General features: G+C 36.3%; 1 protein-coding gene across 26 annotated transcripts in view, besides 1 other annotated feature; it reads left to right on the forward strand.

The window, feature by feature from the left end:
• FBXL2 (F-box and leucine rich repeat protein 2) overlaps positions 1–25,427 on the forward strand; it is a 145,674-nt gene that overhangs the window by 20,583 nt on the left and 99,664 nt on the right. For 12 of the 26 annotated variants that reach the window (NR_146121.2, NR_146132.2, NR_146124.2 and 9 more), the window contains exon 2: positions 57–118. Coding sequence is in view for 3 of the 26 variants with exons in the window: in NM_001349316.2 (NP_001336245.1) it covers positions 57–118 (62 nt within the window). In the remaining 23 variants the exon portion in view is untranslated. Of the gene's footprint in view, positions 1–56; positions 197–261; positions 356–2,914; positions 2,965–5,466; positions 5,554–25,427 lie in introns of all 26 variants that reach the window. The other 14 variants (NR_146122.2, NR_146123.2, NR_146125.2 and 11 more) reach the window with 6 other exon arrangements.
• Positions 18,956–19,156: a silencer, noted in NCBI's record as "peak4597 fragment used in MPRA reporter construct". NCBI's record gives its function as "represses an SCP1 promoter by STARR-seq MPRAs in K562 erythroleukemia cells {active_cell/tissue: K562}" and the evidence as "EXISTENCE:reporter gene assay evidence [ECO:0000049][PMID:32103011]".

Here is a 25,427-nt window from a genome sequence, read left to right on the forward strand (position 1 = left end):
TTTTCCACATTGATTAAAGAACATTTTCACAATTTCCTTTTTTTTTTTCTTTCCAGGTTTTCTCAAACAATGATGAAGGCCTTATTAACAAAAAGTTACCCAAAGAACTTCTGTTAAGGTAAATGTAGATAAATTCTGGATGAAGAGTTTAGATCTGATTTAGTCATCAAGTTCCAAGACTATCTTCTTTCTCACTGTGAGTCCATAGCATAGAAAAACAGACAGAATTAGCCTAACTGACTTTTTGTTTTTGTTTTATAGAATGCTGTTCAGCTTGTTGTTAAATTTTACTTGGTCTAATCCAGAATGTACTAAGTATGTACATAGCATTGGTCTGGATTCTTTTTGTAATGTGGTAAGTATTGTAATAATCTTCAGTAGGTGCCATTGTTTTGTTTTCAGTAGATAATCGTGATGAAGTCAGTAATATGAGGAGACATTATTGCAAGGTTGTGAGCTCCTGAAGTCATAAAGTTTTTGATGTTTTCAGACAAATGAGTTTTAAAATAAATGCAAAAAATAAGCACAGTTATGATATGTTCTTAGCACTTAAAATGCTGTCAACCCCAAGTATTGGTATGTTTTTATTCATATGAGAAGTATAAGTGACAGTAGTATAAAATAGGCTTTTTGTCTTTTGTTTCTGGCATCACTGAATATACAGTAAATGTTATTTTGGTTGTTGTTTTTACTAAGTAAAGCTATCAGCAAACATTTGTTGGCCTGGAGGCACTTCAGTTTTCTTTAGTATTATGCAATCATCAAAAGAAATCTTATTTTAAGGCCAGGAGTGGTAGCTCATGTCTGTAATCCCAGCACTTTGGGAGGCTGAGGTGGGTAGATCACTTGAGGCCGGGAATTTGAGACCAGCCTGGCCAATGTGGTGAAACCCTGTCTCTACTAAAAATACGAAACAATTAGCCAGGCGTGGTGGTGCACGCCTGTAATCCCAGCTACTGGGGAGGCTGAGGCATAAGAATTGGGAGGCTGAGGCAGGAGAATCATTTGAAGCTAGGAGGCAGAGGTTGCAGTGAGCCTAGCCTGTGCTAACTGCACTCTAGCCTGGGTGACAGAGTGAAACTCTGTCTCAAAAAAAAAAAAAAAAAAAAAAGCTTATTTTTGTTTTAGATGTTGTTATATTTTAATTCTTTATGAGGAATTAATAGGTGTACACATGGTAATCCTTGATAGTCATTCCCCTAACTGTTTCTCTTATCACTGATACTCCACAAAACAACAGCAACAGAAACCAGATTTTGTGATCAAATAACTATAGGAAACAAACTGTAGTCCTATAGGGTTAACAAAACCTATAGGACTTCACAGGGCCTTAATAGGCTAATGTGCATGGCGATGATACAAGTTGGGTAATTGTGCCATTTCAAACTTACTGACAATGGAATCCTTTTATTTTTTTAATTTTATTTATTTATTTATTTATTTATTTTGGTGAGATGGAGATTTACTCTTGTTGCCCAGGCTGGAGTGCAATGGCATGATCTCGGCTCACCGCATCTTCCGCCTCCCAGGTTCAAGCGATTCTCCTGCCTCAGCCTCCTGAGTAGCTGGGATTACAGGCATGTGTCACCACGCCCAGCTGATTTTTGTATTTTTAGTAGAGACGGGGTTTCACTGTGTTGCCCAGGCTGATCTCGAACTCCTGATCTCAGGTAATCCGCCCGCCTCGGCCTCCCAAAGTGTTGGGATTACAGGCGTGAGCCACTGCGCCCGGCCGGAATCCTTTTAATATTCCACAGAAAATTTGGGGGAAATGCTGACATACAATAAGAGATTGACCAGATGACTCCATTCCCTGGCTGTACTAAATCTCACTTTAACATTTGGGGAATGACTATGAGTTTTGTTTAAATATTGGGAATAATTATTTTCATCTCTTCCCAAGTTCACCACAGAACCACTTTGTAGATGCCACAGATTACTCACATTTGCTGTCATCAGGTTATTAAGACATTTTTCCTTCAGTTAGAAATGGGGTAAGGACTTAGCTTCTTTGTGGTAGTGATCACATTTCAGGGACTTCAGAGGGTGTTTCATTAGTCATCAGGTGTTGTTTGACACTGTTGTCATGAGCTCCTTCTCAGTTGATTAAAAAAACTGAGACAGGATTGTATGAAAAATATCAATTATATTTTCCAATAAGACAAATATTTGGATAAGAGAGAATGTTCTTTGGCATTTTTGACAAGTTTAAGGTAAGAAAGTGGTGACAAGAAAGAAATGTATGTTTGCCATATAAACCCAAAAGGCTTTGCTCAAGCACAGTAAGTTGTTAGAAGCAATACCGCTGTGTCCCGGTGGGCAGATTGTCACTATACAACTGCACGGATGCCATCCACATTGACTACAGTGTAGATGGTGCCCCCTAGGATTATGCAGTGCTTGCAGTCTGGGTCTGAACATTTCTCTAGAGTGGGCATCAAGCTGTAATCTAAATATGGTATTCTTACCCTGGGGAATCATAAGCAGCTTCAGGCAGGCCCATGTTGGTCACTAAACATTAGGGTGTGATTAAACTCCACCCTTCTCATGCATACTTCTGCTGTGACTCAAGGCTACTAACTGAATGGTTTTTTCCTTCTGGTGGGGTTTGCTTTTGTACTCCACTGAGCCATAGAACAGTTTCTGTCTGTTGATACCAAAAAAATAAAAAGGAATTATATCACTTTCTATGGTAGTGTGATTTCTAAACTGCAGTCTTGGAAACTTCAGTTCTTTTAAAGATCCATGATGGACTCAGCTGTTAGGAATTCTGGAGGTTGTCATCACTACTTATAGCTTTTGAATCATGCCATAAAGCTCATACATAGATCACTTTTCAGAAAGAATTGCCATTTGTGAGCAAATGTTAATGTCTCTTCATAGACTTATGTTCCCACTTGTATTCTTATTTCAGAGTCTGTAAGGGGAATTTAAAATATTGCCACTACAGATCTTCTCCAACTTGTGAGTCTCAAAATTAACTCTAGCCAACCATGTATTTTAATTTAAGAATTTTTTGCTGGCCTTTAAATCATTTCTGTCATTTTACTTTCAGACTTTCCATTCTCTGTGTAGCTTTCCCCCTTTTCCTAGCTATGCTTTCTTTTTTTTTTTTTTTTGAGACGGAGTCTCGCTCTGTTGCCCAGGCTGGAGTGCAATGGCGCAATCTTGGCTCACTGCAAGCTCCACCTCCCGGGTTCACGCCATTCTCCTGCCTCAGCCTCCTGTGTAGCTGGGACTACAGGTGCCCGCCACAACGCCCAGCTAATTTTTTTTTTTTTGTATTTTTAGTAGAGACAGGGTTTCACCGTGGTCTCGATCTCCTGACCTTGTGATCCGCCCGCCTTGGCCTCCCAAAGTGCTGGGATTACAGGTGTAAGCCACTGCGCCCGGCCTTTCCTAGCTACCCTTTCTAAGAAAAATGTTGAAGAAGGGTTTGAACCAGATTTCCTAAGCATCCATCTTCATCATTAGTTAATTCCACAACATTGGGTGTAACAAAGCCCCCACCTCATGAAGCTTAAATCTTTATTATTTTCTGCTCAGTTAAATTATGTCTTCATTGTCTACCCTTGGCTTATATTTTTATTTCATATTGTAGACTTCTTTGGGACAGTGTAGTCTGTTGTTCCTAATCTTGTTGAATTCCTATTCACCTTCAGTCTTACTTCCTCAATACATGTGAATTCTTTGACTTTGAGACAGACCTATTTGCTTTCAGTCCAGATCATTTTCTCTTCTGCCACTTTTGACTGCTTCTGTTACTGCCATCTTTAATTCTCAACTAGCTTCCAATACTGATCACATCAACCGAAGCTTCAGCTTCCCCTTTGGAACCATTAACAAGCATAATCTGGAATAATATGCTGCTTTTCATCTCTCTGTTATCACTTTGAATCCACTCAGAAAAATCTATGTTTTCTTTTCATCTGATTTTATTGATAGTTTTACGAATATATATTATTTACAGATTCCTTCTCTACTACCCATTTTTAGTTTGTTACTGAACAAGTTTTTACAGTTTTGCTTTTTAAAATCCAGCTCTTGCTCATAAATTAAGGCTACTGAAGTTTTTTCCCTACCCTTTGCTCTCACATAGCCCAACAAACAGCTTTTAGTATTATTCTTCCTGGGGAGTCAGTCACATAATTTTTATAACAGTGGAAGTACTTAATTTGTTGCAACCATTATCTATTAGTGAGTTGGAGTATCCTTGCATATATTTTTTCACATTGTTATTGTCCATATTACTGTTGGAATCAGACTTTCTGGGTTCAGATTTCAACTCTTCTTATTTATTAGTTGTGTGACCTTAGTTACTTAACTCTCTGGGCCTTAATTTGCCCATCTATAAAATGGGAATAGTAATAGTTCTTACCTTATGGGGTTGTTGTTCTTAGAGTACCTGGCATGTAAGTATTAAATAAATGTTCGCTCTTATTGTATATTAATATCAATTTTTGGATGCCCGAATATTTAATAAATGCTATTTGACAATGCAGTCAGCTTTAATGCAAACAACTGATGAATCCAGCTCTTAATATGGATCTTAATATATGCTACTGCTAACAATATCTCAGTAAAGTACCTGATTATTAAGTAACTCTGTGAAGGCCCAATGCTTCATTTCATTAAACTGGACGAATTCAATCTCAGTAGAAATTGCATACTACTATCTTATATTAAACTGACAATTACTGTTGCTTAAGCAAATGTGTGGTGGTGTGACACCTGATTTACAACTGCAATTACCTTGCATTATAAAAAAAGATAGTCTCTTGGAGGGAACTCTTCCCTTTTTGAGAAAAAAAAATGTCTTCTGTGAATTGAATATTGACCTAAAACTCAGATTATAAATTATAATAGTAATTTGACTTTAAGTTTTAATTTCTACTATGGTTGCTTTCAGATGTTAGTGATGAAGTAAAAGCACATGTAAAACCCCTCATAGGAGACAGCAAGTGATACCTGCAGTAAACAGCTTAAAACATCCTGAGGAGACAAAGCTCTAGTTAGTCATAAATAATAATGAAAGAAAATTACTAGACACATTTAAAACATTAAATTACTATTATTGATGTAATTTTCTTTCCTTTTTAAATTTGTGTGGATACATGATAAAATTTATTGGCTTGATAAAGGAAGATTTCATTGCCCCAAATGAGGGATTTGAGCCTAATAATTCTGGGCAATATGAAATCAAAGACACAATTTCATATAATACAACAGTTTTAGTAGTTGAATTTGCTTGGGAAAATTATAAAATGACTAGCACATCATTTTCAAATTTTCCTTTTCTTAAATTTGTAAGCCAATCCCATGAGTGAAAATCATTATGGTTTTTGTTGGAATCATTAAGATATAGCCCAGTGCTTATCATAGGTCCTTGGCAAGCAGTACAGTAAAGGGCTCATTCCTGCTATGGGTCTCATTGAGTAGGTCTTGTTGCCTGCTGGTTGGTTTCAGCACTCCATGGGCTTTTTAAAGGACTGCTGCCTCTATTTCCTGCTGTCTGTGGTGCCTGCTGCCTTATATACCAGGGCATCCTAACAGGTAAGATGCTCTTTTGGGGGTACATGCTTCAATTTCAAATTTAAGCATCTATGCAGATTTTCCCTCTTTGCCGAAGAGTTTTTTTAGGTTGGTTTGCTCGCTCTCGTGGTTGTTTTTTGACTTGTGTGTGGCAGTGTGGGACTGAATAAATGTGTATGTTGAAATCAAATGCAGAAGCTTAAAAGCCCTCATTTTCATTACCTCCCTAAACTGTTATGTACTGTTTTAAGGTTGGCACCAAGGTCCAAATTGGCAGAAGCAAATTTTCTTTAGTCTAGGTTGGGGTTATGCTTGTATATGAAAACTCTGAGGATGACTTTGGATTTTATATCTATATTGAGATGCCATGAAACATCAATAGAGCTTTTCTGATAGGAAGGATAGAAACTAGATACATTTTGCCTCAGAGCCTTATTCCTAGCAAATTATATTAGAGATCTATTCATTTAAAAACTGTGAATTCAGTAACAGAAAAGATTGGTGAATTTGACTGTATGAATCGTGAAGTATGGTAAAATTATACCATACTAAAGATAAATAGTACAGTGGTGGATGAAATAATTAGATATACATTATAAGCAAGGGCATTATTCTTCAATATGCAAAGAAAATCAAAATTATTAAGATAAAGGTAGATTGATTTTATTAGAAATACAGTTTGAAGAGGCCACTAACAAAAGAAGAAATACAAATGGCTAATAAATGTATAAACAGATGCTCAACAAGGCCCATATTTAAATACAAATCAAAATAACAATAAGATATTACCCAAAAGTTTGATAATATTAGGTTTTGGCAAGGAGATACGAGATACTTTAGGTGGGAATATAAACTGTAGCAGCCATTCTGTAGGGCCACTGGAAAAAATTTTTTAAATGCTAAATGTATGTATTCACAAATTCCATTTCTAGAAATTTACTAACATATATTTGCAAAAGCACACTGAGGCATATATACAGGATGATTACTGCAGCATTTTAAAAACTTCAGTTATGCAGAATTGGATTACTCATAATTCTTGGTTAATGATACATTTTACCATTGATCCATGCATTGCCCTCTTTTATTCATTTTGTAGTATAAGGAATGTACATAAATGCTGCCCCTCCTCATTCCCCACCATAAAGGTAATATTATCAACAACTTTGTATTTATGATTTCTTGCTTCTTAAAACTTTTTATCTTAAATATATTTTGACTAAACAATATGTTTACTTTTGCTTGTTTATTAACTTCGTAAAAAAAGTATATGGTATATTCTTAGAAATGTTTTTCACTCAAAATTCTGTTATGAAAGGTGATTCTTGTTGCTCTGATTGGCTGTTGCTCATTCATTTTTACTGCTGTATAATATTCTACTGTGTGAATGTACTAAAATTTTATTTTTTCCCCCTTTACTGAGTATTTTGGTTGTTTCCAGTGTTTTATCAGTAAGAGCAGTGCTGCTTTGGACATCCTCGTAGATGTCTCCTGGTGCACAAGTACACAATTTTCTCTGAAAGTAGAATTTCTGAGGGTTATAGGCTATACAGATATTTAACTTTATAAAGAAATATTAAATCATTTTTCCAAAGAGGTCTTACCAGTTTATGTTCATACAAAGAGTGGATAAGAGATTCAGTGCCAAACTGAATCTCTTTCCAACACTTAGTGTTGTCGCATGTCTTAATTTTTGCCAAAGAAGTGTAGAATGGCACCTTATTGTGCTTTTGTTTTGAATTTCCCTGGATTCTAGTAATGTTGAGCATCTGTTCATATGTTTATTAGTCACACGTGTTTCCTCTTCAGTGAAACACGTATTTTTGTTTTTGGCCTATTTGGTTATCGGCTTATTGATCTGTAGTTCTTTATATTCTCAGTATAATCTTTGTACTGATATTAATGTTTAGCTGACAAATACTTTATCCCATCTTCTAACTTGTTTTTTTCACATTCTAAGGCATTTTTTAATGAATACCTTTTGTGAAGTCAAATGTATCAATCTTTTCTTTTATGCTTAGCGTTTTTTGTGCTTTCTTAAGGAACTTCCTCCTTACCCTGAAGACAAAGAGATAGTCACATGTATTTTCTTCTGAAAGCTTAAAAATTTTGTTTTTGATATTTCAGTTTTTAATCACTGTGGTACATATGTTTATATATAAGATAAGAATACATTTTTGTTTTCTTTTGCATATGGATTATCAATTTTTTCCAGGTTCGTTTGTTGAATGATCCTTTCGTTTCTACATAGAAATGCCCTATCACCTCTGTCATGTATTTATGAGTCTATTTCTAGTATTTAGTATTTTCTGTGTGTCAATACTACATATTTGGTAAGGCATCTGTATTTTTGAGTGACCAGGGCCCACAAATTTATTTCTCATACTATCTTTATCTGATTTTTTTTTGAATTAATATAAGCCTCAAAGAATTGAGTTGAGCAGTATGCACGTGTTTTTCTGTCCTCCAAAAGCATCTATTTGTCTTGGTTTAATTGTTCCTTGAAAGTCTGTTAGAACTATTAAATTATGTGAGGCTAGAATTTTCTTTTTGGGAAATTAATTATTACTTTAATTTGTTAGAAATGAATAGTATTTTTCAAGCTTTTTTTCTGTTTTTTCTTGAGTCACTTTTACTAATTTTATTTTTCTAGGAGTGTGTCCACTTTGAGTTTTACATTGGTAAAACTCTTGGTAGCTGTCTTTTTATTTTCTTTGTAAACTCTGCTGTATCTGTTGTAATGTTACTTTCTTCCTTAATATCGTTAGTTTATGCTCAAGTGTTCCCTCCTTGATTAATCTCACTAGAAGTTTACCTATTTCATTAGTCTTCAAAAACTAGCTTTTGGCTTCATTCTTTTCTATTGTTTCTTCGTTTCTATTTTAATAGTTTCCATTCATGTCTCTGTAAAAATTTTTTCTTTGCGTTTTATTCTGTTTTCTTTAGCTGCCTTCATAAGTTGGACATTTAATTGCTTATTTTTTGAGCCTTAGACAATTAACTCAAAGCTCTTCTTTTGTTGCATTCTACAAATTTTGAACTGTAGTGTTTTTCTTATTCAGTTTCAAATATTTATCACGTACCGCTTTTGCTTCTTTGACCCATACGTGTTTTTTTAAAAAGCTTTATCATAAAATACAATATATAGTCAGAGAACTACACAAAACAAATATATGAAACAAATATCCTTGTAGACACCACGTAAGTCAATAAACTTTGCCAGTCACCAAAGAAGCACCTCTGTGCCCAAATCACAACTGCTTTTTTCCTCTTCTGAAGGAACCACTATCTTGACTTATAGCTATCACTATGTTTCATTTCTTTGTAGATTTATCACCTATATGTGCATCCTTAGACATTACAGCTAGTCTTGCCCATCTAAAAAAAATTGTAAATCTTTGAAGTCTCAGTTAATCTGCAGGTCCCCTCTCCATATCTTTCTCTTCCATACATTTGTCTGTTGAAGAACTTGGGTTATTTGGCCTGTAGAAGTTCCCACAGTCTGGATGCTTATTGTGTCCTCACAGTGCAATTTCAAGTTTCTTCCATCCTTTATATTTCTTGGAAGATTCACAGTTGGATCCAGAGACTTTATAAGATTGATTCTACCCCTTTGGTAGGACTTTCTGTGGTGCTGTATTTGTTCATCAGGAGTCATACAATGTTTGGTTTTATCTTTTTTCAGATGCTAGTGTCGATGCTTATTGTCTACATCATTAATTTATTGGGGCTGCAAAGTGGTGATACTCTTAATTCTTTTTCTTCCCACTTAGTGGAATACTTTTATAAACAGGCACTTCAGTTCTATTTGAGTGCCTAGTGTTATATTTTATATAGGAAAGGTGGGGGAAATGCTTGATTCTATCCTTTTATTTGCCAGTTTTAGAAATAATGAGATATATAAAGGTATGATGAGAAACAAAATATTTACATAGTTTCAAATAGTCTTTCCACTAGATAAATGTTAATTACAAAAGGAAAAATGCTAACTATAATAGGGCAGTCTGGCAGACACCACTTAAGCAAATGATCAAAGTTGGCATCACTGGTAACAATACAGATAGACATCATATGCCTGCTCATGCGATGTAGAGCACAATATCATATCTGTGGCATTCCTGACAAAAATTTATAACCCGAATCTAATCATGAGGAAGTATCAGATATACACACAAGGACATTCTACAAAGTAATTGGCCTATTTGCTTTTAAAAATATTGAAGTTATGACAGATAAAGGCTGAGGAAGTGTTCCAGATTAATGGGTACTGAAGAGAAGCCATGACAGCCAAATGCAGTATATGATCCTGAATTGGATCCTGGGTCAGATTTTTTTTTCTTTTGCATTAGGACCATTAATGGGACAGTTGGCAGATTTTGAATAATATCTGTAGATTAGATAATAGTAATATATTACTGTTAATTTCCTTATTTTGATAATTATACTGCATTTGTAAAAGAATATTCTTGTTTGGGGGAAATATTTGAGAATTTAAGGGTAAACGGGCATCATGTCTACAACCTACTCTCAAACATTTCAGAGAAAATGAGAGATATATATATAATATATTAAATATGTAGAGAAAACGATAATGCAAATGCAGTATAATTTAGCTTTGGCAAATTTGGGTGAAGAATATGCAAAAATTATTTGTCATACTTTTGCAACTTTACTGTAAATCAGAAATTATTTAAAAATAAAAACTAGTTGGTTTCTCATCCTCTGAAGGTGACCACATAGATTTTTTTAAAAAGTTATAAATTTATGAATTTAAACATATTTGATAATTTTCAGTCCATTGAAATTACCTTTATTGAAAATCACATTGTCTTGTCTTTGGCTCCTGAGTCCATTTACATGATCTTAGTAGGGTTTGTTTGTTTTTAGTTTTTTGTTGTTATTTTTGTTTGTTTGTTTGTTGAGGCAGGGTTTTACTGTGTTATCCATGCTGGCCTTGAACTCCTCAGCTCAAGCAATATTCCTGCCATTGCCTCCTCAGTAGCTGGAACCACAGGCACCTGCCACTGCACCTGGCTTCTTGTAGCTTTTTCTGGTTTACTTCCTATCTAAGATAGGATATACCAGGCTCATCTCATATAGTCCCTATCCCAGACCTGGAATTAGCCATTTCTTTAGAAGTATTGGTTTCTTTCTGTGGGAAAGGGTATTTCAAGATTATAGTCTGGTTGCTAGAGATATTCATGATTATTGGACTGGTTATTATTTCTAGGCATTTTCAGTACACTGAATTTATATCATATGAGAAACTCATAATTTCATACTTATATTGCTCATTCCAATTTAGGACTACAGGTATCACTTAATGTCATCAATCTTATGTCTCTATCTTCTTCCATCCACACTGATAGTCCTAGTTCTGGCACAGGAGATTGTAGAATTAGAATATCCTGTAAGTACTCATTTGCTTTATTCTACATTACACACATAACAGCCTCAGAATGACACTAACACAGTTGTCATCAACATGAGTACTAAAAACAGGCAATAATTTTTCTTCTTCCTATTTCTCTCAGCCCCCATTTTTTGAGATCTTTCTTCTTTTTTGATGTTGGTGTTTAATGCTATATTATAATATTATAAATCCCTCTCAGAACTGCTTTTGCTGCATCCTTAAAGTTTTGGTATGTTGTGTGTCCATTTTCATTTATTGCAAGATTTTTGATAGTTTCCTCTTAATTTCTTCTTTGACCCATTGGTTGTACAGAAGCATGTTGTTTAATTTTAGAAATTCTTCTTTTTACTGGTTTCTAGTTTCATACCATTGTGATTAGAAAACGTATTTGATGTGATTTCCAACTGCTTAAATTAGTCAAGACTTACTTGGTGGCCTAACATATGATCTATCCTGGAGAATGTTCTGTGTGTGCTTGAGAAGAAGGTGTATCCTGCTGCTGTTGGGTGGAATATTCAAAATATGTCTGTTAGGTCCTCTTGATCTCAAGTGTAGTTCAAGTACAATATTTCCTTATTGATTTTCTATCTAGATAATGTGCCATTGCTGAAAGTGGGATATCTACTATCTCTATCTACTATTTCTGTATTGCAGTCTTCTACCAGCTGCCATTTTTATATTGCAGTCTATGGCTCCCTTCAGATCTATTAATATTTGCTTTTATATATTTAGGTGCTCTGATGTTGAGTGCCTATATATTTACAATTGTTATATTCTATTGATGAATTGATCCCCTTTGTCATTATATAATCACTTTGTCTCTTTTTACAGTTTTTGACTTAAAGTCTATTTTATTTGATATAAGTATATAGCTACTCTGTCTCTCTTTTTGATTTCCATTTGCATGGAGTATCTTTTTCCATCTCTTTCAGTCTATGTGTATTCTTGCAGATAAAGTGGGTCTCTTGCAGATAGCATATAGTTGGGTCTTTAAAAAAAAATACATTCAGCTACTTTATGTCTTCTGATTGGAGAATTTAACACATTTACATTAAAGATAAGTATTGCTAGGTAAGGGCTTATTACTGCCCCTTTGTTAATTATTGTCTAGTTATTTCATAGATCCTTCATTCTTCTTTTTCACGCACTTGATATCTTCCTTTGTGATTATATGATTTTTCTGTAGTGGTATGCCTTCATTCCTTACATTTTATCTTTTGTGTATATACTATAAGCTTTTGCTTTGTAGCTACCACAAGGCTTACATAAAACATCTTACAGTTATAGCACGCTATTTTAAGCTGTTAACGACTTTAATCATATACAGGCCAGGCATAGTGGCTCACGCCTGTAATCCCAGCACTTTGGGAGACTAAGCAGGGAGGATCGCTTGAGGCCAGGAGTTTGACACCAGGCATGCCAACATAACAAGACCTTTTCTCTACAAAAAGGAAAAAAAAAGTCACATACAAAAACTCTACATTGTTTCTTTCCTCCCCTTGACATTTTAGGTTTTTGATGTCATAATTTACATTTTTAAACATTGTGTATCACTTAAAAATTATTGTAGCTATATTTATTTTTAATAGTTTTATTTTATTTTATTTTATTTTTTTGGAGATGGAGTCTCGCTCTGTTGCCTAGGCTGGAGTGCAGTGGTGCGATCTCAGCTCACTGCAATCTCTGCCTCCTGGGTTCAAGCAATTCTCCTGCCTCAGCCTCCCGAGTAGCTGGGACTACAGGCTCACGCCACCACGCCTGGCTAATTTTTTGTATTTTAGTAGAGATGGGGTTTCACCATTGTTACCAAGGCTGGTCTCGAACTCCTGAACTCAGGTAATCTGCCCACCTCAGCCTCCCAAAGTGCTAGGATTACAGGCGTGAGCCACCATGCCCTGCTTCTTAATAGTTTTATATTTTAATCTTCATACTAAACATATGTGACTTATATATGCCATAATTATAGTGTTAGAGTATTCCGAATTTTACTATGTATTTTTACCGGTGAGTTATACTTTCATGTTTTTATCTTATTAACATATATTTTCTTTTATCTTTAAGAATTATCCTTAATTATTTTTTGTAAGGTAGGTCTGATGGTGATGAACTCCTGAAGCTTTTTTTCATTTGTCTGGAAAAGTCTGTCTCTCCTTCATTTCTGAAGGACAGCTTTGCCTGGGTAAAGTATTCTTAGTAGGGAGGGTTTTTTTAAAAAAAATTATATATTTAAAAAAACATTTGAGATGGAGTCTAGTTCTGTTGCCCAGGCTGGAGTGCAGTTGTGCAATCTTGGCTCAATGTAACCTCCGCCTCCTGGGTTCAAGTGATTCTCCTGCCGCAGCCTCTTGAGTAGCTGGGATTACAGGTGCACACCACCACTCCTGGCTAATTTTTCAGTATTTTTAGTAGAGACAGGGTTTCACCATGATGGCTAGGCTGGTCATGAACTCCTGACCTCAAGTGATCCACCCACCTCGGCCTCCCAAAGTGTTGGAATTACAGGCATGAGCCACCACACCCAGCCAAATTCTATATTTTGACTATGTCATCCTATTCTCTTGTAGATTGTAAGGTTTCTGCTAAGAAATTTGCTGATAAGTGTATTGAAGTTTCCTTGTATGTGATATGCTGCTTTCACAATCCTCTCTTTCTTTAATTTTTGACAGTCTGCCAATCCTGTGTTTTGGTGTAGTCTTATTTGGATTGAACCCGATTGGAGATTTTTGAGCTGCTTGTGTGTGAATATTCATATCTATTCCCAGACTTGGGAAGTTTTCTGTTATTTAGTTATATAAGCTTTCTACCCGCCCCCACTTTTCTTTTTCTCTGCTCCTTTTGGGATCCACCCTCCTATAATGGGTATATATTACTTCACTTGTTGGTGCCTCATAATTCTGATAGGCTTTCTTCACTCTTTTTCATTTTTTTTCCTTTTTGTTCCTCTGAGTGATGAATTTTAAATGCCCTGTCTTTGGGCTCACTGATTCTTTATTCTGCTTGATCAAGTCTGCTGCTGAAGCTCTCTGTAGAATTTTTCAGTTAAGTCATTGTGTTCTTAGCTACGGAATTTGTTTGGCTCTTTTTTTTTTGAGACAGAGTCTTGCTCTGTTCGCCCAGGCTGGAGTGCAGTGCCACTATTTCGGCTCACTGCAACCTCCGCCTCCCAGGTTCAAGCAATTCTCTGGCCTCAGCCTCCTGAGTAGCTGGGACTACAGGCGCATGCCACCATGCCCGGCTAATTTTTTTGTATTTTAGTAGAGACGGGGTTTCACCGTGTTAGCCAGGATGGTCTCGATCTCCTGACCCCATGATCCCTCGCCTTGGCCTCCCAAAGTGCTGGGATTACAGGCATGCGCTACTGCATCCATCCTGTTTGGTTCTTTTTATGATTTCTGTCTCTTTGTTGAACTAATTTTGTTTATGTATTGTTTTTCTGATTTCATTTAGTTGTCTTAATGTAGCTCAGTGAGCTATGCAATATAGATAGACAACTATTTTTTATTCTTTTTTTATTTTTATTTTGAGACAGGGTCTCACTTTGTCACCCAGACTGGAGTGCAATGGTGCAATCATAGCTCACTACAGCCTCGACTTCCTGAGCTCAAACCATCCACCTGCCCCAGCCTCCTAAGTAGATGGGACCACAGGAGCGTGCCACCACACCTGGCTAATTTTTAAATTTTTTTGTAGAGACAGGGTCTCATCATATTGCCCAGGCTGGTCTCCAACTCCTGGGCTCCAAGCAGTCCTCCTGCCTCAGCCTCCCAAAGTGTTGGGATTACATGCATGAGTTACTGCACCTGGCCTATTTCTAATTATTTGTCAGGCAGTTTGTAAATCTCCATGTTTAGGGCTGGTTACTGGTGCTTTATTTTGTTCCTTTGATGGTGTTATGTTTTCCTGATTTTTGTGATTCTTGTGGCTGTGCATTGGTGTCTATGCATTTGAAGAAGTAGGGACTTACTTTGATCTTGGCAGAGTGGCTTTAGCAGGGAGAGCTTATCACCAGTCAGCCCATCCGGAGATTCTGGGAAGGCTATCTGGCTTCCAGCCCACATTTCTTAATGGTTGTGTTAAATCTACATTGTTAAAGCTTTTAGCTACTATATATTATACTCTCTCTTTAACGCTTATTTAACTTATTATTTATTTATTTTATTTATTTAACTTACTTAACATAAATTATTTATTATCCTAATAGCCAGACTGACTAGGAGGAAAAAGAGACAACATTTACCATTTTCAGGAATAAGAGAGGAGATATCACTGCAGTTATTGAAATGATAGGCCAGGAGTGGTGGCTCACCCCTGTAATCCTAGCACTTTGGGAGGCTGAGGCAGGTGGATTGCCTGAGCTCAGGAGTTTGAGACCAGCCTGGGCAACACAAGGAAACCCCGTCTCTACTGAAATGCAAAAAATTTGCTGGCATGGTGTTGTGCCTCTGTAGTCCCAGCTACTTGGGAGGCTGAGGCAGGAGAACTGCTTGAACCCGGGAGGTGGAGGTTGCAGTGAGCCAAGATTGTGCCACTGCACTCAGCCTGGGTGTCAGAGTGAGACTCCGTCTCCAAGAAAAAAAAAAAAAGATAAGACAATATTATAAACAACTTTATGCCAATAAATTTAAGAAGTTAGATGAAATAAATTCCTTGAAAGTCACAACCTACCAAAACTCGCAAAGAAATAGATAATCTAAAGAATTCTTTTTTTTTTTAATTTTAAACTCCATCAAGTCCTGGTAAACTAAAGATTTCTATACATATTAAAGAAATTGAATTGGTGGTTACATAACCTTTCCTTCCAAAAACATGCAAAACCAGATGGTTTCAATGGTGAATTCTGTCAAACATTAAAAAACAAAACAAACATCAGATTCTACATAAACTCTTCCAGAAATTTGCTTGTTTGTTTAGAGAATAGGGTCTCACTCTGTCACCCAGGCTGGAATGTAGTGGTGTGATCATGGCTTACTGCAACCTCAACCTCCTGGGCTCAAGCAATCCTCCTGACTCAGCCTTCCAAGCATCTGGGACTACAGATACATGCCACCATGCTCAGATAATTGTTTTATTTTTTTTGTAGTGGCAGGGTCTTATTATGTTGCCCAGGCTGGTCTCAAACTCCTGGCCTCAAGCCATCCTCCTGCCTTACCTCCTGAACTACTGGGGTTATAGACATGAACCACTGCATCCAGCCTCATTTAACTTATTCAGTACTCATTATCAGTCCATATTCAATTTCCATGTTGTCATTTTGTTTTGTGATTGTGATGCTTGTTCTCCAGAAGATATCTCAGGTGTTAATGGGAACAATATTCTCTGAGTTTTTATACATTGATAATAGTTTGTGCCTTTTATACTTGAAGGTCAATTTTGCTGGATATTAACTAGTGGTTCATATTTTCTTTTCTTGATTATCTTAATTATGCTATTCCATTTTCTTCTGGCATAAAGCTTTGCTGTTTAAAACTCTGATGATGATCTAATCTTTATTCCTTTATGTCTCTATATGCTTTTTTATATTGTTTATATATCCTTGATATCCTCTTTAATTTTTTTTTGCTTTTTACTTATTGTGAAATATTTAATTGATAAATAAAGATTGAATATATTCAAGGTATACATGACAACATGATGATTTAATATATGTATATATTCTATAATGATTACCACAATCAAAATGACACATCTGTCACCACTCATGCTGTACATTAGATCCTCAGAACTAATCTTATAACTGAAAGTTTGTACCGTTTGACCAACATCTCCCCATTTCCCCTGCTTTCCCAGCCCCTAGCAACCACTGTTCTACTCTCCTCTTCTATGAGTTCAACTTTTTTACATGCCACGTATAAGTGAGATCATAGAGTGTTTGTCTTTTCTATGTCTGACTTATTTCATAGTGTCCTACAGGTTCATCCATGTTGTCACAAATGGCAGGCAGGCTCTATTATGGCTAGAGAATATTCTATGGTATAGTTAAAATGTGGAATCTAAAACCATGGTAATGAACTTTTTGTATTCCGTTACATTGAACTCTACTTTTCTTGGTACTTTCAATGGATCTTTTTCCCATTTAAAGTTGATTTTGAAACATGTATCAGTCATTTGGATAATATGGTTCACTAAGTTATGCAAATATTCCCCTTGTTAATACATTTTATAATATTAAAATATCACATTCATTAATATCACCATTGATCTCATCAGAAAAGTCTTTAAGAATTGAGAAGCTAACAACTCGGAAGCCAATACAAGTTTTCCAAAATTCTAACTTTTTCTTAGAACTTGAATTTTATTATTGGTATAATTTTCCTTGAAGTGACATACTCAATTCATTAATTTTTAAAAAATGTCTGCCAAGTACCCTTGTCTGAATTACCATAATTTATGTCAGTTGTTCTTACATGTGAAAATGTGTTTCATGAAAAAAGTGGCTAGTTTAGCTTGCACTGCAAACAATTGCTTTTCCTTAAGACAAACATTTTAAGTTCTTCTTGAGACTTTTAAATTTGTCACACAGAAATTAAAAAGATGTGTGCTCAAAAGTCAAGATTCATTAGAATTACTATTTTGTTTCTGCTTAAAGTGAAATCAGCTTTTTTGTCCTCCCTCCCTTCCCTGTCTTTCATTCTTTCCTTTCTTTTCTTTTCTTTTTCTTTCTCCTTTCCTTTCCTTTTTTTTCTTTCTTTTTTTTCCTTTCTTTCTTTTCTCTTATCTTTCTTTTCCTTTCTCTCTTTCTCTGTTTCTCTCTTTCTCTTTCTCTCTCTCTTACTTTCTTTCTTTCTTTTGCCATGGCAGTGAAGACTCTAAATATGATATGGTGTCACTTTCTTGATTAGTGCTAAGGTAGTTTTACCTGCCATTTCTTTTGTATTATCAATGCAAATGTCAGTTTAAAAAAAAAAAAAGATGTGCTTTTTCCAAAGTTGGAAAAGCAAGTAACATCTTAGTATTAACTGTGAACAGGGTCCCTAAGAGGGTCTACAGGACTGGAACACACTTTGGAGACTGCTGCCCTAAGGCATTGTCTTTTTTGTTTACTCACTTTGGTGTTCTTCTGTGGTTTTTATTTCAGAAAATTTTTCTTTCATTTATAATTCTATTCTTGAGTTCTGTTATGTCATCTTAAATTTTTCTAATTCTGATTTACACTGTTCTTTCATGTCGCTTATCATTTTCTTAAATTTAACTTATTTTGAAATAGTAGGTTACAGTTTTAATCTGTTTTGTGGACATATCTTTCTGGTATGTTTTAATCATAGGGATATTATTCTGCTCTTTTTTTTTCTTTTAAAACTTTGCATGGGATTTGTGAAATTAGTTTTTCTTAATGGAGATGTAAGTGAGGAAAGCCTTTGGAATTTCATAAAGTTTCCTCTTAGTCATCGCCATTGTTGTTTAAGTGTTTAAGAAAGCAGCAGGTTGCTCTCATTTCCTGACTTTCTTCTCATCCCCAGCCTTTGACCTTTACATGGACTTTACTACTTCTTTGTTCTCTGTTTTGCTTACTTTTTTTTTTTTTTTGAGACAGGGTCTTACTCTATTGCCCAGGCTGGAGTGTAGTGACGTGATCTCAGCTCACTGCAACCTCTGCTTCCTGGGTTCAAGTGATTCTCTTGCCTCAGCCTCCTGAGTAGCTGGAATAAAGGTGTGCCCCACTATGCCTGGGTAATTTTTGTGTTTTTAGTAGAGATGGGGTTTCACCTTGTTGGCCAGGCTGGTCTCAAACTCTTGGACCTCAAGTGATCCACCCACCTCAGCCTCCCAAAGTGCCGAGATTACAGGCATGAGCCACCACGCCGAGCCACCACGCCTAGCCTCCTGCGTAATGTTTTTATTCCACCCTTAGCAGTTTCCTAAGTGTGGGATCCCATCCTAAAAGGTAGCTTTGGCAGTTGTTTTTGAGTTCCTATGGCTCAGAATGCTTCAGCCCCTTTTAGAAATTAGTGTGGACCCCTCCACTCATGTGCTATTTGATTAGTCAAAATTTCCTCCCAGTATCATCAGCTGCTGTTCTCACATTAGCTACCTGTGCTCTCTAGGGTATATTAGCTGTTTTGGGATTCTCCTGAGGTCAAAGGCCCCTTGGCTCCCTCCTGCATAGACACTGATAATAGTGGGTCCTGTGGCACTTGGCGGTTTGGCCCTCATCCACCTGTATTTTGAGGTTTGTGGGGATACTTTATCACTTAGGCTTTTTTCAGCAGTCAAATGCATTACTTATTGAAGTATAATTTACAGACAATAAAATATGCCTTTTAAGGTAATCAATTCTATGAGTTGGGCAAACATTTTCAAACATGTAACTATCACCACAGTCAGTGTATAGAATTTTCTCTGTTTTTCTTTTTTCTTCTTCTTTTTTTTGAGACAAGATCTCACTCTGTTGTCCAGGCTGAAGTACAGTGGCATGATCACAACTCACTTCAACCTTGAATTCCTGGGTTCAAGCGATCCTCCCACCCCAGACTCCCAAGTAGATATGACTACAGGTGCATGCTATCACGCCTGGCTAATTTTTAAAATTTGTACAGCAGGTCTCACTATGTTGCCCAGGCCAGTCTTGAACTCCTAGCCTTAAGCAATTTTCCTGGTTCAGCTTCCCAAAGCTATGGGATTATAGGCTTGAGCCACCATGCTCAGCCTAATATATGAATTTTTCATCACCCCCCAAAGTTCCCCAGTGCCCCTGTGTACCAGTTCCCCTTCCCCGCCTCTCGCACCGTGTTGGTGATTATTCTTTTCACAGAGAATACACTTACACCTCAACCTCAAGAGAGAAAACCCAAATCCCATTCATTCACTGCATCCAATTCATAGTTCAGGGTCTGTGGGTGATATGCATTCCTCTCCATCAGATCTGGATGTGGTACTTAATGGTTTTGTTACTCTCCCTCAACTACTGTCTCTCACCCCATATTCAGGAGCAGGGACAGGATAACAACAATAAACAATAAAACTTGTAAAAAGGAAGAATGGAAGACACACATCATTGTTTTGTAGCAATGATGAGATTCTGCTAAACAGATATTATGAAGCCCGCCTTATCCTAGCAGTAGGGGTATGTTTCTGTTCTATTCCATTCCATTCCCTATTTTGTTTACTGGAGGGGGCTCCCTTACCATTGGTCTTGGTGACTTTTAACTCCAGCCTCAGAAAGGTCTTACTTGCTCATTATTTTCCATGACTACATCTGAAGTGGATGTTAGGGAATATGCCCTTACTGGGGACTGTACATGTTGAAAATCCCTAATCCAAAAATCAGAAATCTGAAATGCTCCAAAATCTGAAACTTTTTTGAGCACAGACATGAAACTCAAAGGAAATCATTGGAGCATTTTAGATTTCAGATTTTTGGATTAGGGATACTCAGCCCATACTTATTTCACAGCCATTTCTTACCTGTGTAGTTTTGGGAACCTTAGGATTAGTTGATAATCACAGCATGTTTTGGGCCAGGTTTCTGGGTTTTTTTTGTTTTTTTGACAGAATTTAAGAACTTAGTAGTCTTCTAATTACCACGCTCTAAATTCATTCTTAGACTGTAGCCCCAGACGTCTTTTGTTTTGTTTTGTTTTGTTTCCTGTTCCCCATGGCTGTTTCTCACTGGTATCTATCTTGAGACATCTGAAACATAGGTGTGGGATGAAGGAGAGCAACTTTAATCTGATCTTTGCTACAGGTCTTGGTTGTTCTGTTTAACAGAGATTTGCAGCTCAAAGTGCTTTTCAATCTTATTTTTACTATGTGGCATTTAGAAATAGTTGACTTTTCTAACAATCTGAGGCTCTAAGTTTCTCTTTTCTCTTCCCTTTTATTTCTGCTTGCAAACCAACTAGTTATTTGTTGAGTACTCTTTCTTTTAATGCCTTGATAAATATAGGAAGGAGAAACCATTATTTGCTAACCTTTTGGCACTTCGTAATCTCTTCTCTAGATCTGCATTCTTTGTCTGCTGTCCAGATAATCATAAGCAATTATATTACATAACATGTCTTTATCTTGCCAGCTTCAGATGCATGTTTCCTGTGCTGTTACCCACTAGATGGACACACTAGACAGATGTCACATATTTTAGATTTTTGTTCGAAGTAGCACCTCACATCAAGATATCTGTTTCTAAATTAGTGTAGTTAGAGTAGGCTAATGTGGCATATACATCTAATTTTTTAAACATAACTGATGTTTTTTAAACATCTATTATTGCTCAACTAATAGAATTCGGTGTGTGAAAGGTCAGCAGGGCAATCCTCCTCTCTGTAGTTATTGAGGACCTTGTTGAAAGAAACCCTTCTGTCTTCAACCATGGCTTCCATTTATCCAGCTTACTTTTCATGGCTAGATCTCAGTTACATGGCTGTACGTACCTGCAAGGGGGTTTGGGAAATGTAGTATAGGTGTGTTTCCTGAAGGAGAAGGGAATGTGGATTTGGTGAGCAGCTAGCAGTTTCTAACACGAACTTCATTATTTGTAAAGCACGAATCCCAGGCAAGATGGGAGTTTTCTAGATTTTCCTTTAGGTGTTTTAAGACGTCACAGTCCTGGGATATATCAAGACAGAATTATAATTTTGATCATCCCTTTTGTATCTTGTTCAAATTTTACAAACTAGGTACTGCAGTGGTTCAGCACAAACTTCAAGTATGGGAGCCCCCTTGTGGGAGTGCCCATGGCAAGTTTATCTAACCTAAGGATGATTTTTTTTTTTAGTGAGGACTTATTGAAAATAATTTTTTATATATCTCTTTATTATTTTAACTATTATTGGAACCATTTGAATGTATTGCCTATTAAATAAATTAAAAAATAAAGTAATTCATCAAGTGGATGTATGATGTAATATACATGAAGTATCTATGAATTTTTAACTTTAAGAAATAATTATGGAAATTATTCCTGAAGACATTCCTTCATTTAACAGCTACTTCCTGAACACCACTGTGCTTAGAATGTTGAATTATTGAATTCTTACATATTTACTTCGATGAGCAATATCACAATCATGAAAACTGTATCATTGCCTGGGGAAATAGAATGTGTTTGTTGGAACTTAAGTGGTTCTCTTAAATGTAAGAAATAATACCTTTAGCATCTATACAGTTGATTATGTATTTTAATGTATGAGTTATTTCCAAAAGAAGGTATCATATTAACCATGAATAACTTTTATTTTTTTAAAAAATTGAAATATCAAAGCATTTCTTTATTCATTTGATATTTGGTGCTTATTTTGGTTCACACACTTTTCTAGGGGCACAAGAAGGAAATTAATGTCATTTAGGAAAATGTCACTTTATTTTTGTTTCATTTACCTAAATTCAGACATCCAAAAAATATGTAAGATATCTAAAGACAAAATCTCACAGAAGATGTGCAAGTCCTATATGGAGATAGTGATTCAGTGTTATTAACAGACATTAGAGGAAATATTAATAAGTTTCAAGAAATATATTCATGTATAGATAGGCCCAGTATTACAGATATACCCATTCTCCCTAGATCTATGGATTCAATGCAGTTCTAATTCAAATGCCATCTGGAATTTTGGGGGGGACATTTAAAAAACTGACTCTGAATGTATATGATCAAGTGATAGCCAAGATATTTTGAAGAAAAATAGATATAGGGACTGCTCTATAAGCCATCATAATTTATTATGAAGTTATAACAAGTAAAACAGTAAGGTATTTGGCATGGAATAGAGAACCAGAAACAGACCAATGCATGGGTACAGGATATAACACAGGGAAATGAGGGACAATATATGGTTCTGGGATAATTATTTATATGGGGAAAATAAAGAAATTGGATCCCTACCTCACACATACAAAAAAAATCATAATTGAATTAAAAACTTGCATGTGAAAGGAAAGACTTTAAAACATTTAGAAAAAGTATTGGAGGCTATGATCTTGGGGTAGGAAAGCATTTCTTTTTTTTTTTTTTTAGACGGAGTCTTGCTATGTCGCCCTGGCTGGAGTGGAGTGGCGCAATCTCAGCTCACTGCAACCTCTGCCTCCAGGTTCAGGCGATTCTCCTGCCTCAGCGTCCTGAGTAGCTGGGACTACAGGCGTGCACGACCATGCCTGACTAATTTTTGTATTTTTAGTAGAGACGGGGTTTCACCATGTTGGTCAGGCTGATCTCGAACTCCTGACCTGGTGATCCACCTTCCTCGGCCTCCCAAAATGCTGGGATTACAGGCGTGAGCCACCACACCTAGCCAGGAAAGTATTTCTAAAACATGACACAAAAATTGTTTACCATGGAAGAAAAGATTGTTATATATTACTACATTAAAATTAAAAACTTTATTCATCAAAAAACACCCTGAAAATTGAAAGGAAAGCCACAAACTAAAAGATACTTGTAGTACATAAAACCAACATATTCTTAGTATCCAGAATTTATGGAATTTATAAAGAACTCTTACAAATCAATAAGAAAACGACAAACAATCTAACTAAAAAATGGGGCTGGGTGTGGTGGCTCACACCTGTAACCTTAGCACTTTGGGAGGCCGAGGCAGATGGATTGCTTGAGGTCAGGAGTTCAAGACCAGCCTGCCCAACATGGAAAAATCCCATCTCTACTAAAAATACAAAAATTAGCCAGGCATGGTGGCACATACCTGTAATCTCAGCTACTTGGGAAGCTGAGGCAGCAGAATCACTTGAACCCAGGAGATGGAGGTTGCAGTGAGCTGAGATTGCACCATTGCACTCCAGCCTGGGTGACAGAGCCTGACTCCATCTCAAAAAAAAAAAGAAAAAGAAAAAAGAAAAAAAAGAAAAAGAAAAATGTGCAAAAAGCATTAACTAGTATTTTAAAGGAGAGGAAGCATAAATGGTGGAAAAAAATATGAAAAGATACTTCACATCACTAGTAATCACAGAATTTCAAAATAAAGATTACAAGTGACCATCTACTCTCGTGAGATTGGCAAAAATTAAGAAATGTGACATTATCCACAGTTGGAGAGGATGAAGATTCTTTTATACAGTTAATGTGTCACTTAACAATGGAGATACGTCCTCAGAAATGCCAGGATATGTTCTGAGAAATTTGTTGTTAGGCAATTTTGTCATTGTGTGAACATCGTAGAGTTGACTTACACAAAGCTAGATGGTATAGCCTATTGCATATCTAGGCTGTATGGTATAGCGTGTTGCTCCTAGGCTACACACCTGTATGACATGTTACTGTACTGAATACTGTAGGCACTTGTAGCAGAATTGTATTTGTGTATCTAAATGTAGAAAAGGTACGGTAAAATTATGGTATCATAATCTCATGAAACAACCATTGTATATGTAGTCCATTATTTACTGAAATGTCATTATCCAGTGCATGACTGTACATTGCTGGTGGGAAGGTGGTCAGTACCACCACTTCAGAAAACAGTTTGTCACTGCCCTGTAAAATCAAACATTGGCATATTCTGTGACCTGAATTGCCACTTTTGAGTATACCCTTAGGAACCTGCAAATGTACACGTGGTGACTAGGTGATTTTTTTTTTTTTTTTTTTTTTTTTTTTTTTGAGACTGAGCCTCACTCTGTCGCCTAGACTGGAGTGCAGTGGCGCCATCTTGGCTCACTGCAAGCTCTGCCTCCCGGGTTCACAGCATTCTCCTGCCTCAGCCTCCCGAGTAGCTGGGACTACCGGTGCCTGCCACCATGCCTGGCTAATTCTTTTATATTTTTAGTACAGACAGGGTTTTACCGTGTTAGCCACAGTGGTCTTGATCTCCTGATCTCGTGATCTGCCCACCTCGGCCTCCAAAAGTGCTGGGATTACAGGCGTGAGCTACGGCGCCTGGCCAACTAGGTGATGTTTATAAAAATGTTTATAGCAGTGGTATTCATAATAACAAAAATCCTAGAAATAACCAAATGTTCATTGACTGGAATGTTGGAAAGCAGTGAGATATACTAGAGGTTTACACAGTTGCTTGGATAAATCTTAGTCTTCTAATGCTGAGTGAAAAAAAAAGTTGTGGAAGACATATACAGCATGTACCATTTTTATAAAGTTCAAAATCAAGCAAAACTACATGATGTGTCATTTAGGAATGTGTACCTTGTGATAAAACTATAAAGAATTAAAAACAGAAGTCATGAGCATGTATATTAGTGGAGACGTAGAGAAAGGGAATAAGGGAGAGACACAAAGTAGATGCAATTACTGGTAACATTTTGGTTAAGTTTGAGGGGTGATCATACTGTTTTATTATAAGGTGTCATATATTGTGTGTGTGTCAAAATGTATTTAATATAATATTTGTTAAAAATTTGAAAGGTATGATGAAGTCTACTATGTTTTATTCTTTCCTTGATGTCTTCTGATTACTGTTTTTTGTTCTTGTGCCTCACAGTCTTGCTGTATCTCCCTTTGCTGTCTTTAGCAATAGGTGTCCCTAATCTTTTGTTTCTCTGTTTCTCATTCAGAATGATTCCCATTTGCTGTGTTCCAGCCTCT

This window comes from Homo sapiens, chromosome 3 (genome assembly GCF_000001405.40).
Source record: "Homo sapiens chromosome 3, GRCh38.p14 Primary Assembly".
In the NCBI taxonomy this organism is placed as follows: domain Eukaryota; kingdom Metazoa; phylum Chordata; class Mammalia; order Primates; family Hominidae; genus Homo; species Homo sapiens.